The 17,425-nt window shown below is 36.7% G+C and overlaps 2 annotated features.

The window, feature by feature from the left end:
- Positions 1,283–1,817: an enhancer, noted in NCBI's record as "OCT4-NANOG hESC enhancer chr12:38018300-38018834 (GRCh37/hg19 assembly coordinates)". NCBI's record gives its function as "activates a minimal SCP1, AML or CMV promoter by ChIP-STARR-seq in naive H9 embryonic stem cells {active_cell/tissue: H9 hESC(naive)}" and the evidence as "EXISTENCE:reporter gene assay evidence [ECO:0000049][PMID:30033119]".
- Positions 1,900–2,403: an enhancer, noted in NCBI's record as "OCT4-NANOG hESC enhancer chr12:38017714-38018217 (GRCh37/hg19 assembly coordinates)". NCBI's record gives its function as "activates a minimal SCP1, AML or CMV promoter by ChIP-STARR-seq in naive H9 embryonic stem cells {active_cell/tissue: H9 hESC(naive)}" and the evidence as "EXISTENCE:reporter gene assay evidence [ECO:0000049][PMID:30033119]".

Raw genomic sequence — 17,425 nt, 5'->3', positions numbered from 1 at the left:
CACAAAAAGAGATTTTCAAAACTGCTCAATCAAAGGAAAGGTTTAACTCTGTGAGTTGAATGCACACTGCACAAAGAGGTTTCTCAGATTGCTTCTGTCTAGATTTTATGTGAAGATATTTCCTTTTCTACCATAGGCCGCAAAGCGCTCCAAATGTCCAGTTGCAAATTCTCCCAAAAGGGTGTTTCCAAACTGCTCTATCAAAAGAAACGTTCAACTCTGTGAGATGAAAGCACACATCACAAAGAAGTTTCTCAGAATTCTTCTGTCTAGTTTTTATGTGAAGATATTTCCTTTTCCACCATAGTCTCAAAGCACCCCAAACGTCCACTTGCAGATTGTACAAAAAGAGTTTCAAAACTGCTCAATCAGAAGAAAGGTTTAACTCTGTGAGATGAACGCACACTTCACAAAAAAGTTCCTCAGTTTGCTTCTGTCTAGATTTTATGTGAAGATAGCTCCTTTTCCACTGTAGGCCGCAACGTGCTAAAAATGTCCACTTTCAGATTCTACAAAAAGAGAGTTTGAAAACTGCTGAATCAAAAGAAAATTTTAACTATGTGAGATGAATGCACACATCACGAAGAGATTTCTCAGATTGCTTCTGTCTAGATTTTATGTGAAGATATTTTCTTTTCTACCAGGCTGCAAAGTGCTCCAAATGTCCACATGAAGATTCTACAGAAAGAGAGTTTGAAAACTTCTCAATCAAAAGAAAGGTACAACTCTGTGAGATGAACCCACACATCAAAAAGGAGTTCTTCAGAATTCTTCTGTCTATTTTTTATGTGAAGATATTTCCTTCTCCATGGAAGGCCTCAAGGCGCTTGAAATGTCCACTTGCAGATTCTACAAAAAGAGTATTTCAAAACTGGTCATTCAAAAGAATGGTTCAACTCTGTGAGATGAATGCACACATCCAAAGAAGTTTCTCAGAATTCTTCTGTCTAGTTTTCATGTGAAGATATTTCCTTTTCCAACATAGTCCTCAAAGTGCTACAAATGTCCGCTTGCAGATTCTACAAAAAGAGTTTAAAAAGTGCCCAATCAAAAGAGAGATTTAACTCTGTGAGGTGAATGCATACTTCACAAAGAAGTTTCTCAGCTTGCTTCTGTCTGTCTACTTTTCTACCATAGGCTGCAAAGCGCTCCAAGTGTCCAAAGGCAGATTCTGCAAAAAGAGTGCTTGCAAACTACTCAATCAAAAAAGAGATTCAACTCAGTGAGATGAATGCACACATCACAAAGAAGTTTCTCAGAATTCTTCTGTCTAGTTTTTTGGTGACAATATTTCCTTTTCCAGGATAGGCCTCAAAGCACTCCAAACATCCAATTGCAGATTCTGGAAAAAGATTGTTTCAAAACTGCTCTATCAAAAGAATGGTTCAGCTCTGTGAGTTGAAATGACACATCGCAAAGAAGTTTCTAAGAAAGCTTCAGTCTAGTTTTTTTGTGAAGATATTTCGTTTTCAACCATATGCCTCAAAGACCTCCAAATATCCACTGGCAGATTCTACAAAAAGAGTGTTTCAAAACTGCTCTATCAAAGGAAAGGTTCAACTCTGTGAGTTGAATGCACACATCACAAAGATGTTTCTGAGAATGCTTATGTCTACTTTTTCTGTGAAGATATTTCCTTTTGAAGCATAAGACACAAAGCACTCCAAATATCTACTTGCAGATTCTACAAAAAGAGTGTTTTAAAACTGCTGTATCAAAAGAAAGGTTCAACTTTGTGAGTTGAATGCACACATCACAAAAAAGTTTCTGAGAGTGCTTCTGTTTAGTTTCTCTGTGAAGATATTTCCTTTTCCACCATAGGCCTCAAAGCGCTCCAAATATCCACCTGCAGATTCTACAGAAAGAGTGTTTCAAAACTGCCCTCTATCAAAAGAAAGTTTCCCCTCTGTGAGTTGAATGCACACATCACAAAGTGCTTTCTGAGAATGCATCTGTCTAGTTTTTATGAGAAAATATATCCTTTTCCACGAAAGGCCTCAAAGCATTCCAAATATCCACTTACAGATTCTACAAAATGAGTGTTTCAAAACAGCTCTATCAAAAGAAAGGTTCAACTCTGTGAGTTGAACGCACACATCATAAAGAAGTTTCTGAGAATGCTTCTGTCTAGTTTTTATGTGAAGATATTTCCTTTTCCACCGTAGTCCTCAAAGCCCTCAAAATATCCAATTGCAGATTCAACAAAAAGAGTGTTTCAAAACTGCTCTATCAAAAGAAAGGTTCAACTCTGTGGGTTGAATGCACACATCACAAAGTACTTTCTGAGATTGCATCTGTCTAGTATTTATGTGAAGATATTTCCTTTTCCACCATGTGCCTCAAACCTATCCAAATATCCAATTGCAGATTCTACAAAAAGAGTGTTTCAATACTGCTCTATCAAAAGAAAGATTCAGTTCTGTGAGCTGAATGCACACATCACAATGATGTCTCTGAGAATGCTTCCGTTTAGTTTTTGTGTGAAGTTATTTCCTTTTCCACCATAGGCTTCAAATCACTCCAAATGTCTAGGTGGAGATGCTACAAAAAGAGAGTTTCAAAACTGCTCTATCAAAAGAAAGGTTTAACTCTGTGAGGTGTATGCACAAATCACAAAGAAGTTTCTGAGAATGCTTCTCTCAAGCGTTTATGTAAAGATATTCCCGTTTCCAACAAAGGACACAAAGCACTCCAAATATCCAGTTGCAGTTTCTACCAAAAGAGTGTTTAAAAACTGCTCTATGAACAGGTATGTTCAACTCTGTGAGTTGAATGCTTACATCACATCGAAGTTTCTGAGAATGCTTCTGTCTAGTTTTTATGTGAAGATATGTCCTTTTCCACCATAGGCCTCAAATCGTTCGAAATATCCACTTCTGATTCTACAAAAAGACTGTTTCAAAACTGCTCTATCAATAGAAAGGTTCAACTCTCTGAGTTGAGGGCAAACATCACAAAGAAGTTTCTGAGAATGCTTCTGTCTAGTTTTTTTGTGAAGATACTTCCTTTTCCACTATAGGCCTCAAAGCACTCCAAATATACACTTGAGGATTCTACAAAAAGAGTGTTTCACAACTGCTCTATCAAAAGAAATGTTCAACTCTGTGAGTTAAATGCACACATCACAAAGATGGTTCTGAGCATGCTACTGTCTCATTTTCATGTGGAGATATTTTCTCTTCCACCAATGGCCTCAAAGCGCTCCAAAGATCTACCTGCAGATTCTACAAAAAGAATGTTTCAAAACTGCTCTATCAAAAGAAAGGTTCAATTCTATGAGTTGAAGGCACACATCACAAAGGTGTTTCTGAGAATGCTTCTGTCTACTTTTTCTTTGAAGATATTTCCTTTTAGATCATAAGCCCCAAAGCCCTCCAAATATCTACTTGCAGATTCTACAAAAAGAGTGTTTTAAAACTGCTGTATCAAAAGAAAGGTTCAACCTTGTGAGTTGAATGCACAAATCATGAAGAAGTTTCTGAGAATGCTTCTGTTTATTTTTTCTGTGGAGATATTTTCTTTTCCACCATAGGCCCCAAAGCGCTCCAAATATCCACTTGCAGATACTACAAAAACACTGTTTCAAAACTACTCTCTCAAAACTACTCTCTCAACTCACAGATTTGAATGCACACATCACAAAGCAGTTTCTGAGAATGCTTCTAGTTTGTATGTGAAGATATCCCATTTACAACGAATTCCTCAAAGAGCTCCAAATATCCACAAGCAGATTCTACAAAAGGTGTCTTTCAAAACTGCTCTATCAAAAGAAATGTTCAACTCTGTGGTTGAATGTACACATCACAAAGAAATTTCTGAGAATGCTTCTGTCTAGTTTTTATGTGAAGATGTTTCCTTTTCCACCGTAGGCCTCAAACCTTTCCAAACATCCACTTGCAGATTCTACAAAAATAGTGTTTCAAAGCTGCTCAATCAAAAGAAATTTTCAACCCTGTGAGTTGAATGCACACATCACAAAGTAGTTTTTGAGAATGCTTCTGTCTAGTTTTTGTGGGAATATATTTCCTTTTCCTCCATAGGCCTCAAAGCGCTCCAAATATCCACTTGCAGATTCTACTAAAACAGTGTTTCAAAACTCCTCTATCAAAAGAAAGGTTCTACTCTGTGAGTTGAATGCACACCTCACAGAGAAGTTTCTGAGAATTCTTCTGTCTAGTTTTTATGTGAAGGTATTCCCATTTCCACCATAGGCCTCATAGCACTCCAAATATCCACGGGCAAATTCTACAAAAAGAGTGTTTCAAACTGCTCTATCAAAAGGAAGCTTCAACCATGTGAGTTGAATGCAGACTTCACAAAGAAGTTTCTGAGAATGCTTCTGTCTTTTTTTTTTTATGTGATGATATTTCCTTTTCCATGGTAGGCCTCAAAGAGTTCCAAATATCCATTTATAGATTCTACAAAAAGAGTGTTTCAAAACTGCTCTATCAAAAGGAAGGTTCAACACTGTGAGTTGAATGCACACATTACAAAGAAGTTTCTGAGAATGCTTCTTTCTAGTTTTTATGTGAAGATATTACCTTTTCCAGCATAGGTATCAAAGTGCTCCAAACATCCACTTGCAGATTCTACAAAAAGACTGTTTTAAAACTGCTGTATGAATACGAATGTTCAACTCTCTGAGTTGAATGCACACATCACAAAGAAATTTCTGAGAATGCTTCTGTCTAGTTTTTATGTGAAGATATTTACTTTTCCACCATTGGACTCTAAGCGTTCACAATATCCACTTGCAGATTCTACAAAAAGAGTGTTTCACAACTGCTCCATCAAAAGGAAGGTTCAACTCTGTGAGTCGAATGCACACCTCACAATTCACTTTCTGAGAATGCTTCTGTGTAGTTTTTATATGAAGTTATTTCCTTTTCTACCATAGGCCTCAAAGCGCTCCAAATGTTCACTTGCAGATTCTACAAAAAGAATGTTTCAAAGCTGCTCTATCAAAAGGAAGTTTCATCACTCTGAGTTCAATGCACACATCACAAAGTAGTTTCTGAGAATTCTTCTGTCTAGTTTTTATATGAAGATATTTAGTTTTCCATTGTATGCCTCAAAGCGCTCCAAATATCCCCTTGCAGATTCTACAGAAAGAGTGTTTCAAAACTGCTCAATCAAAAGGAGAGTTCAACTCTCTGATTTGAATGCAAACGTCACGAAGAAGTTTCTGAGAATGCTTCTGTCTAGCTTTTATTTGAAGATATTTCCTTTTCCACCATAGGCTTGAGGGCACTCTAAATATCCACTTGCAGATTCTTCAAAATGAGTGTTTCCATACTGCTCTATCAAAAGGAAGGTTCAAATCTCTGAGTTGAATGCACACATCACAAAGAAGTTTCTGAGAATGCTTCTGTCTAGTTTTTATGTGAAGATGTTTCTTTTTCCACTGTAGGCCTCAAACCGTTCCAAACATCCACTTGCAGATTCTACAAAAATAGTGTTTCAAAGCTGCTCAATCAAAAGAAAGTTGCAACTCTGTGAGTTGAATGCACACATCACAAAGTAGTTTTTGAGAATGCTTCTGTCTAGTTTTTGTGGGAATATATTTCCTTTTCCTCCATAGGCCTCAAAGCGCTCCAAATATCCACTTGCAGATTCTACTAAAGGAGTGTTTCAAAACTGCTCTATCAAAACAAAGGTTCAACTCTGTGAGTTGAATCCACACATCACAAAGAAGTTTCTGAGGATTCTTTTGTCTAGTTTTTACATGAAGATATTTCCGTTTCCACTGAAGGCCTCAAAGTGCTCCAAATATTCACTTGCAGATACTACAAAAAGTGTGTTTCAAAACTGCTTTATCTATAGGAAGTTTCAACTCTGTGAGTTGAATGCACACCTCACAAATAAATTTCTGAGTATTCTTCTGTCTAGTTTTTATGTGAAGATATTCCCGTTTCCACCGTAGGCCTCATAGCACTCCAAATATCCACTGGCAGAGTCTACAAAAAAAGTGTTTCAAACTGCTCTATCAAAAGGAAGCTTCAACCATGTGAGTTGAATGCACACCTCACAAAGAAGATTCTGAGCATGCTTCTGTCTTTTTTTTTTTATGTGAAGATATTTCCTTTTCTATGGGAGGCCTCAAAGAACTCCAAATATCCATTTATAGATTCTACAAAAAGAGTGTTTCAAAACTCCTCTACCAAAAGGAAGGTTCAACTCTGTGAGTTGGATGCACACAGCACAAAGAAGTTTCTGAGAATGCTTCTGTCTAATTTTTATGTGAAGATATTTCCTTTTCCACCATAGGCCTGAAGTTGCTCCACATATCCACTTGTAGATACTACAAAAAGTGTGTTTCAAAACTGCTCTGTCAAATGAAATGTTCAACTCTGTGAGTTGAGTGCACACATCACAAAGAAGTTTCTGAGAATGCTTTTGTCTAGTTTTAAGTGAAGATATTTTCTTTTCCACCATAGGTCTCAAAGCGTTCCAAATATCCACTTGCAGATTCTATGAAAAGAGTGTTTGAAAACTGCTCAATGCAAAGAAAGGTTCAACCGTGTGAGATGAATGCCTACATCACAATGAAGTTCCCCAGAATGCCTCTGTGTAGTTTTTATGAGAAGATATTTACTTTTCCACCATAGGCCGCAAAGCGCTGCAAATTTACACTTGCAGATTCAAAACTGCTCGATCGAAAGAAAAGTTCAACTCTGTGAGATGAAAGCACACATCAGAAAGAAGTTTCTCAGAATGCTTCTGTTTTGTTTTTAGGTGAAGATATTTCCTTTTCCAACATGGGCCTCAAAGCTCTCCATATATCCACTTGCAGATTCTACGAAAGGAGTGTTTCAAAACTGCTCAATCAAAAGAAAGTTTCAACTCTGTGAGATGAATGCCCATTTCATAACGAAGTTTCTCAGAATGCTTCTGTGTAGTTTTTATGTGAAGATATTTCCTTTTCCACAATAGGCCCCAAAGCGTTCCAAATATCCGCATGCAGATTCTACAAAAAGATTGTTTACAAAGTGCTCAATCAAAAGAGAGGTTCAACTCTGTGAGATGAATGCGCACATCACAAAGAAGTTTCTCAGAATGTTTCAGTGTACTTTTTATGGAAAGTTCTTTCCTTTTCCACAACAGGCCACAAAGGGCTCCAAATATCCACTTGCAGATTCAACAAAAAGAGAGTTTCAAAAGTGCTCTATCAAAAAATAGGTTCAACACTGTGAGTTGAATATGCACATAACAAAGAACTTTCTTAGAATGCTCCTGTGTAGTTTTTATGTGAAGACATTTCCTTTACCACCATAGGCCACAAAGCGCTCCAGAAATCCACTTGCAGATTCTACAACAAGATTCCTTCAAAACTGCTCAATCAATAGATAGTTTAAACTCTGTGAGATGAATGCACATATCACAAAGAAGTTTCTCAAAATGCTTCTGTGTAGTTGTTATGTGAAGATATTTCCTTTTCCACAATAGGCCTCAAAGCGCTCCAAATATCCACTTGCAGATTCCAAAAAAAGACTGTAGAAGTTTCTCAGAATGCTTCTGTCTAGTTGTTATGTGAAGACATTTCCTTTTGCACTATACGCCGCAAAGCGCTCCTAATATCCACATGCAGGTTCTACAAAAAGAGTGTTTCAAATCTGCTCAATCAAAAGAAACGTTCAACTCTGTGAGTAGAAAGCACACATCACAAAGAAGTTTATCAGAATGCTTCTGTGTAGTATTTATGTGAAGTTATTCCCTTTTCCACCATAGGCTGCAAAGGGCTCCAAATATCCACTTGCAGATTCTACAAAAAGAATGTTTCTAAAACTGCTGAATCAAAAGAAAAGTTCAACTTTCTGAGTTGAATGCAAACATCACAAATAAGTTTCTCAGAATGTTTCTGTGTAGTTTTTATGTGAAGATATTTCCTTTTCCATCATAGGCCTCAAAGCCTGCCAAATATTCAATTCCAGATTCTATAAAAATAGTGTTTCCAAATTGCTCAATCAAAAGAAACGTTCAACTCTGTGAGATGAATGCACACATCACAAAGAAGTTTCTCAGAATGCTTTTGTCTATTATTTATGTGAAGATATTTCCTTTTCCACCATATGCCTCAAAGCACTATAAATATACACTTGCAGATTCTAAAAAAAGAGATTTTCAAAACTGCTCAATGAAACGAAAGGTTCAAAAGTGTGAGATGAATGTACACAGCTGAAAGAAGTTTCTCAGAATGCTTCTGTCTAGTTTTTATGTGAAACATTTCTTGTCAACAATAGGCCTAAAAGCGCTCCAAATATCCATTTGCAGATACTACAAAAAGAGGCTTTCCAAAATGCTCAATAAAAGAAAGGTTCAACTCTGTGAGTTGAATGTACACATCACAAACAAGTTTCTGAGAATGCTTCTTTCTAGTTTTTATGTGGAGACATTTTCTTTTCCATGATAGGCATCAAAGCGCTCCAAATATCCACTAACAGATTCTGCAAAATAGTGTTTCCAAACTGTTCAATCAAAAGAAACATTCAACCCTGTGAGATGAATGCACACATCACAAAAAAGTTTCTCAGAAGGCTTCTGCCTAGTTTTGATGTGAAGATATATCCTTTTCAACCATAGACCACAAAGCACACCAAATATACATTTGCAGATACTACAAAAAGAATGTTTTCAAACTCTTCAATCAAAGCGAAGGTTCAACTCCATGAGTTCAAAGCACATCATAAAAGAGAATTCTCTGAGAATGCTTCTGTCTAGTTTTTATGTGGAGATATTTCCTTTTCAACTATAGGCCACAAAGCACTCCAAATCTCCATTTGCAGATACAAGAAAAAGACTGTTTCCAAGCTGCTCAGTCAAAAGAAAGTTTCAACTCTGTGAGATGAATGCACACATCACAAAGAAGTTACTGAGAAAGCTTCTGTCAAGTTATTATGTGAAGATATTACCTTTTCCACCATAAGCCTCAAAGCACTCCACACATCCACTTGCAGATTCTACAAAAAGAGTGTTTCAAAACTGCTCTATCAAAAGAAAGGTTCAACTCTGTGAGTTGAACGCACACATCACAAAGTTTCTGAGAACGTTTGTGTCTAGTTTTTATGTGCAGATATTTCCTTTTAAACCACAGGCCTCAAAGCAGTCCAAATATCCACTTGCAGATTCTATGAAAAGAGTGTTTCAAAACTGCTCTATCAACAGAAAGGTACAAATCAGTGAGATGAATGCACACATCACAAAGAAGTTTCTCAGAATGCTTCTGTCACTGTTTTTATGTGGAGATGTTTCCTTTTCAAACATAGGCCTCAAAGCGCTCCAAATATCCATTTTCAGATACTTCAGAAATAGTTCTTCAAACTACTCCATCAAAACAAAGGTTCAACTCTGTGAGTTGAATGTACACATCACAAAGAAGTTTTTGAGAATGTTTCTGTCTAGTTTTTGAGTGAAGATATTTCCTTTTCCATCATATGCTTCAAAACGCTCCTAATATCCACTTGCAGATTCTACAAAAAAGTGCTTCAAAACTGCTCAATTAAAAGAAAGTTTCACCTCTGTGACATGAATGCACACATCACAAAGAAGTTTCTCAGAATGATTCTGCCTAATTTTTATGTGAAGATATTTCCTTTACAACTATAGGCAACAAAGCGATCAAAGTATCCATTTGTAGATACCACAAAAAGATTGTTTCAAAACTGGTCTATCAAATGAAAGGGTCAACTCTCTGACTTGAATGTAAACATCACAACGAAGATTCAGAGAATGCTACTGTCTAGTTTTTATGGGAAGATATTTCCTTTTCACCATCACCCACAAAGCACTCCAAATATCCACTTGCAGATTGTACACAAAGAGTGCCTCAAAGCTGCTCTATCAAAAGAAAGGGTCAATTCTGTGAGTTGAATGCACACATCACAAAGTTGTTTCTGAGAATGCTTCCGTCTAGTTTTTATTTGAAGATATTTCTTTTTACACGGTAGGCCTCAAAGCACTCCAAATATCCACTTGCAGATTCTATAAAAAGAGTGTTTCAAAACTGCTCTATCAAAAGAAAGGTTCAACAGCGAGAGTTGAATGCACACATCACAAAGAGGTTTCTGAGAATGATTCTGTATAGTTTTTATGTGAAGATATTTCCTTTTCCACCATAGGGGACAAAGCAATCCAAATGAGCACTTGCAGATTCTACAAAAAGAGAGTTTCAAAACTGCTCTATCAAAAGAAATGTTCAACTCTGTGAGTTGAGTGCAGACCTCAGAAAGAACTTTCTGAGAATGCTTCTGTCTAGTTTTTATGTGAAGATATTCCCATTTCAAACCAAGGCCTCACAAGTCTCCAAGTATCCACTAGCAGATCCTACAAAAGGAGTGTTTCAAAACTGCTCTATCAAAAAACAGGTTCAACCCTGTGAGTTGAATGCACACATCAGAAAGAAGTTTCTGAGAATGCTTCTGTCTAGTTTTTATGTGAAGATATTTCCTTTTCCACCATAGGCCTCAAATCCCTGCAAATATCCACTTGCAGATTTACAAAAGGACGGTTTCAAAAGTGCTCTACCAAAAGGAAGGTTCAACTCTGAGAGTTGAATGCACACATCACAAAGAAGTTTCTGGAGAATGCTTTTGTCTAGTTTTTATGTGAAGATATTTCCTTTCCCACCATTGGCCTCAAAGCGCTCCAAATGAACACCTGCAGATTCTACAAAAGGGGTGTTTCAAAACTGCTCTATCCAAAGAACGGTTCAGCCCTGTGAGTTGAATGCACACATCACAAAGCAGTTTCTGAGAATGCTTCTCTCTAGTTTCTATGTGAAGATATTCTGGATTACAACGAAGGCCTCAAAGAGCTCCAAATATCCACTAGCAGATTCTACAAAAAGAGTGTTTCAAAACTGCTCTATGAAAAGAAAAGTTCAACTCTGTTAGTTGAATGCACACGTCACAAAGCAGTTTCTGAGAATGCTTCTGTTTAGTTTTTATGTGAAGATATTCCGGTTTACAACGAAGGCCTCAAAGAGCTCCAAATATCCACTAGCAGATTCTACAAAAGGAGTGTTTCAAAACTGCTCTAAGAAAAGAAAGGTTCAACTCTGTTAGTTGAATGCACACATCACAAAGCAGTTTCTGAGAATGCTTCTGTCTAGTTTTTATGTGACGACATTTTCTTTTACACCATTAACCTCAAAGTGCTCCAAGTGAAGAATTGCAGATTCTACAAAAAGAGTGTTTCAAAACTGATCTATCCAAATAAAAGTTCAACTCTGTGAGCTGAATGCACACATCAAAAAGCAGTTTCTGAGAATCCTTCTGTCTAGTTTTTATGTGAAGATATTTCCTTTTCCACCATTGGCCTCAAAGCACTCCAAGTGAACACTTGCAGATTCTACAAAAAGAGTGTTTCAAAACTGCTCTATAAAAAGAAAAGTTCAACTCTGTGACTTGAATGCTTACATCACAAAGAAGTTTCTGAGAATGCTTCTGTCTAGTTTTTATGTGAAGATATTTCTTTTTCCACCATAGGCAACAAAGCGCCCCAAATGAACACTTGCAGATTCTACAAAAAGACTGTTTCAAAACTGCTCTATCAAAAGAAAGGTTCAAATCTGTGAGTTGAATGCCCAAATTACATAGTATTTTCTGGGAATGTTTCTGTCCAGTTTTTGTGGGAAGATATCCATGTTTCCAACAAAGGCCTCAAAACTCTCCAAATATCCACTAGCAGATTCTACAAAGCGAGTGTTTCAAAACTGCTCTATGAAAAGAAAGGTTCATCTCTGTTAGTTGAATGCGCACATCAAAAAGAAGTTTCTGAGAATGCTTCTATCTAGTTTTTATGTGAAGATATTCCTGTTTCCAACGAAGCCTCAAAAATCTCCAAATAGCCACTAGCAGATTCTACAAAAGGAGTGTTTCAAACCTGTGCTATCAGAAGAAAGGTTCAAATCTGTTAGTTGAATGCACATATCACAAAGAAGTTCCTGAGAATACTTCTGTCTTGTTATTATGTGAAGATATTTCCTTTTCCACCGTAGGCCTCAAATCGCTCCAAATATCCAATTGCAGATTCTACAAAAAGACTCTTTCAAAACTGATCTCTCAAAAGGAAGGTTCAACTCGATGAGTTAAATGTACACATAACAAGTTAGTTTCTGAGAATGCTTCTGTCTAGTTTTTATGTGAAGATATTTCCTTTTCCACCATAGGCCTCAAAGCACTCCAAATGAACACTTGCAGATTCCACAAAAAAAGTGTTTCAAAACTAATCTATCAAATGAAAGGTTCAACATTGTGAGTTGCATGCACACATCACAAAGCAGTTTCTGAGAATGCTTCTGTCTAGTTTTTATGTGAAGATATTCCCTTTTCCACCATAGGCCTCAAATCCCTGCAATTATCCACTTGCAGATTTTACAAAAAGACTTTTTTAAAAGTGCTCTATCAAAAGGAAGGTTCAACTCTGCGAGTTGAATGCACACATCATAAGGAAGTTTCTGAGAATGCTTCTGTCTAGTTTTTATGTGAAGATATTTCCTTTCCCACCATTGGCCTCAAAGCACTCCAAATGAACACTTGCAGATTCTACAAAAGGAGTGTTTCAAAACTGCTCTATCCAAAGAACAGTTCAACCCTGTGAGTTGAATGCACGCATCACAGAGAAGTTTTTGAGAATGCTTCTGTCTAGTTTTTATGTGAAGATATTCTGGTTTACAACGAAGACCTCAAAGAGCTCCAAATATCCACTAGCAGATTCTACAAAAGGAGTGTTTCAAAACTGCTCTATGAAAAGAAAGTTCAACTCTGTTAGTTCAATGCAGACATCACAAAGCAGTTTCTAAGAATGCTTCTGTCTAGTTTTTATGCGAAGACATTTTCTTTTACACCATTGGCCTCAAAGCACTCCAAATGAAGAATTGCAGATTCTACAAAAAGAGTTTTTCAAAACTGCTCTATCCAAAGAAAGGTTCAACTCTGTGAGTTGAATGCACACATCACAAAGCAGTTTCTGAGAATCCTTCTGTCTAGTTTCTATGTGTAGATATCCCGTTTACAACAAATTCTTCAAAGAGCTCCAAATACCCACAAGCAGATCCTATAAAAGGGATGTTTCAAAACTGCTCTATCAAAAGAAAGGTTCAACTCTGTGAATTGAATGCACACATCACAAAATAGTTTCTGAGAATGCTTCTGTCTAGTTTTCATGTGAAGTTATTTCCTTTTCCACCTTTGGCCTCAAAGCGCCCCAAATGAACACTTGCAGATTATACAGAAAGAATGTTTCAAATCTGCTCTATGAAAAAAAAATGTTCAACTCTGTGAGTTGAATGCACACATCACAAAGAACTTTCTGAGAATAGTTATTTCTAGTTTTTTCTGAATATAGCCCTTTTCCAATGAATTCCTCAAAAAGTTTCATATATCCACAAGCAGATTCTACAAAAGAAGTGTTTCAAAACAACTCTGTCAAAGGAAAGGTTCAACTCTGAGACTTGAATGCACACATCACAAAGTAGTTTCAGAGAGCTTCTGTCTAGTTTTTATGTGAGGATATAAACTCTTCCAAAATAGGCTTCAAAGTGCACCAGATATCCACTTCCAGATTCTACAAAGAGTGTTTCAAAACTGCTTTATCAAAAGAAAGGTTCAACTCTGTGAGTTGAATGCACACATCACAACTAAGTTTCTGAGAATGTTTCTGTCTAGTTTTTATGTGAAGATATTTCCTTTTCCAGCGTAGGCCTCAAGCGCTTGAAATATCCACTTGCATATTTTATCAAAGAGTGTTTTAATACTGCTTTATCAAAACAAAGTTCAACTCTGTCATTTGAATGTAAACATCACAAAGAGGTTTCTGAGAATGCTTCTGTCTTGTTTTCATGTGAAGATATTTTCGTTTCCACCGTAGGCCTCAAAGCACTCCAAAAATGCACTTGCATATTCTACAAAAAGAGTGTTTCAAAACTGCTCTATTAATAGAAAGGTTCAACTCTGTTAGTTGAATGCACACATCAGAAAGAAGTTTCTGAGAATGCTTCTGTCTAGTTTTTATGTGAAGACATTTCCTTTTCCACATAGGCCTCAAAGATCTCCAAATATCCACTTGCAGATTCTACAAAAAGAGCTTTTCAAAACTGCTCTATCAAAAGAAAGTTTCAACTCTGTGAGCTGAATGGACACATCACAAGGAAGTTTATGAGAATGCTTCTGTCTTGTTTTTAGGTGAGGATATATACTTTTCCACCGTAGGCCTCAAAGCGCACGAAATATCCACTACCAGATTCTACAAAAAGGGTGTTTCAAAAGTGCTCAATCAAAAGCAAGGTTCTACTCTGTTATTTCAATGCACACATCACAAAGAAGTTTCTGAGAGTGCTTCTGTCTACTCTTTATGTGAAGATATTCCCCTTTCCACCATAGGAATCACAGCGTTCCAAGTATCCACTTGCAGACTCTACAAAAAGAGTGTTTCAGAACTGCTCTATCAAAAAAAATGGTTCAACTCTGTTAGATGAATGCACACATCACAAAAAAACTTTTGATAATGCTTCTGTCCAGTTTTTATTTGAAGATATTCCCGTTTCCACAGAAGGCCTTAAAGCGCTCCAAATATCCATTTGCAGATCCTTCAAAAAGAGTGTTTCAAAACTGCTCCATCAAAAGGAAGGTGCAACTCTGTGAGTTGAATTCACACATCTCAAAGAAGTTTCTGAGAATGTTTCTGTCTAGTTTTTATGTGAAGATATTTCATTTTCCACCATAGGCTTCAAAGCACTCTAAATGTCCACTTTCAGATCCTACAAAAAGAGTTTTTCAAAACTGCTCAATCAAAAGTAAAGGTTCAGCTCTGTGAGTTGAATGCACACATCACAAAGAAGTTTCTGATAATGCTTCTGTCTAGTTGTTATGCGAATATATTTCCTTTTCCACCATAGGCCTCATAGAACTCCAAATATACACTTTCAGATTCTACAAAAAGAGTGTTTCAAAACTGCTCTATCAAAAGAAAGGTTCAACACTATTAGTTGAATGCACACATCACAAAGTTATTTCTGAGAATGCTTCTGTCTAGTTTTTATGTGAAGATATTTCTTTTTTCACCTTAGGCCTCAAAGCGCTCTAAATATCCACTTGCGGATTCTACAAAAAGAGTGTTTCAAAGCTGCTCTATCTAAAGAAAGTTCATCTCTGTTAGTTGAATGCACACATCACAAAGAAGTTTCTGAGAATGTTACTGTCTAGTTTTTTTGTGAAGATATTTCCTTTACCACCATAGGCCTCAAATCACTCCAATTATCCAGTAACAGTTCCTTCAAAAGGAGTGTTTCAAAACTGCTCTATGAAAAGAAATGTTCAACTCTGTGAGGGGAATGAACACATCACAAAGAAGTTTCTGAGAGTGCTTCTGTCAAGTTTTTATGTGAGGATATTTCCTTTGCCAAAATAGGCATCAAAGCACTCTAAATATCCAGTTGCAGATTCTACAAAAGGAGTGTTTCAAAACTAATATATCAAAAGAATGGTTCAACACTGTGAGCTAAATTCACACATCACAAAGAAGTTTCTGAGAATGTTTCTGTCTACTTTTCATGGGAATTTATTTCCTTTTCCACCATAGGCCTCAAAGCCCTCCTAATATCCACTTGCAGATTCTACAAAAAGAAATGTTCAACTCTGTGAGTTGAATGCACACATCATGAAGAAGTTTCGGACAATGCTTCTGTCTAGTTTTTATGTGAAGATATTTCCTTTTCCACCATAGGCCACAAAGCACTCCAAATATCCACTTGCAGATTCTTCAAAAAGAGTGTTTCAAAGCTGCTCTATCAAAAGAAAGGGTCAACTCTGTGAGTTGAATGAATACATCACAAAGTATTTTCTGAGAATGCTTCAGTCTAGTTTTTATTTGAATATATTTCCTTTTTCACCTTAGTCCTTAAACTGCTCCAAATATCCATTTGCAAATTCTACAAAAAGACTGTTTCAAAACTGTTCTCCCAAAAGGAAGGTTCAACTCTGTGAGTTGAATGCACACATGACAAAGAATTTTCTGAGAGGGCTTCTGTCTAGTTTTTATGTGAAGATATTTCCATTTCCAGCATAGGCCTCAAAGTGCTCCAAATGAACATTTGCCGATTCTACAAATAGAGTGTTTCAAAACTGCTCTTTATAAGGGAAGGTTCAACTCTGTGATTTGAATCCACACATCACAAAGCAGTTTCTGAGAATGCTTCTGTCAAGTATGTGAAGATATCTCGTTTCCAACGAATTCCTCAAAGAGCCCCAAATATCCACAAGCAGATTGTAAAAAAAGAGTGTTTCAAAACTGCTCTATCAAAAGAAAGGTTCAACTCTGTGAGATGAATGCACACAACACAAAGTAGTTAACGAGAATGCTTCTGTCTAGTTTTCATGTGAAGATATTCCCTTTTCCACCTTAGGACTCAAAACGCTAAAAATATCCACTTGCAGATTTTACAAAAACACTTTCTAAAAACTGCTCTGTCAAAAGGAAGTTTCAAAACTGTGAGTTGAATGCACACTGGCAAAGAAGTTTCTGAGAATGCTTCTGTCTAATTTTTATAAGAACATATTCCCTTTTCCAACATAGGCCTCAAATCACTCCATATGAACACTTACAGATTCTACAAAAAGACTTTATAAACTGCTCTATCAAAGGAAAGGTTCAATTCTGTGAGTTGAATGCACACATCACAAATAACTTTCTGAGAATGCTTCTGTCTAGTTTTTATGTGAATATATTTCCCTTTCCACCATAGGCCTCAAAGTACTCCAAATGAACACTTGCAGATTCTACAAAAAGACTGTTTCAAAACTGCTCTATCAAAAGAAAGATTCAACTCTCTTAGTTGAATGCACACATCTCAAAGAAGTTCTGGAGAATGCTTCAGTCTAGTTTTATGTGAAGATATTTCCTTTTCCACCACAGGCCTCAAAGCGCTCAAAATGAACATTTGCATATTATACAAAAAGAGTGTTTCAAATCTGCTCTATCAAAAGAAAGGTTCAACTCTTTGCGTTGAATGCACACATCACAAAGGAGTTTCTGAGAATGCTTCTGTCAAGTTTTTATGTGAAGTTATCCCGTTTCCAACGAATTTCTCAATGAGCTCCAAATATCCACAATTAGATTCTACAAAAGGAGTGTTTTAAAACTGCTCTATCAGAAGAAAAGTTCAACTCTGTGAGTTGAATACACGCATCACAAAGATGTTTCTGAGAATGCTTCTGTCTCGTTTTATGTGAAGATATCCCCGTTTCCAATGAAGGCCTCAAAAATCTCCAAATATCCACAAGCAGATTCTACAAAAGGAGTGTTTCAAAATTGCTTTATCAAAAGAAAGGTTCAACTCTGTTGGATGAATGCACGCATCTCAAAGAAATTCCTGATAATGCTTCTGTCTAGTTTTTATGGGAAGATATTTCCTTTTCCACCATAGGCCTCT

The sequence above is a fragment of the Homo sapiens genome, chromosome 12, assembly GCF_000001405.40.
Source record: "Homo sapiens chromosome 12, GRCh38.p14 Primary Assembly".
In the NCBI taxonomy this organism is placed as follows: domain Eukaryota; kingdom Metazoa; phylum Chordata; class Mammalia; order Primates; family Hominidae; genus Homo; species Homo sapiens.
This window is presented reverse-complemented; position numbering and strand designations above follow the sequence as displayed.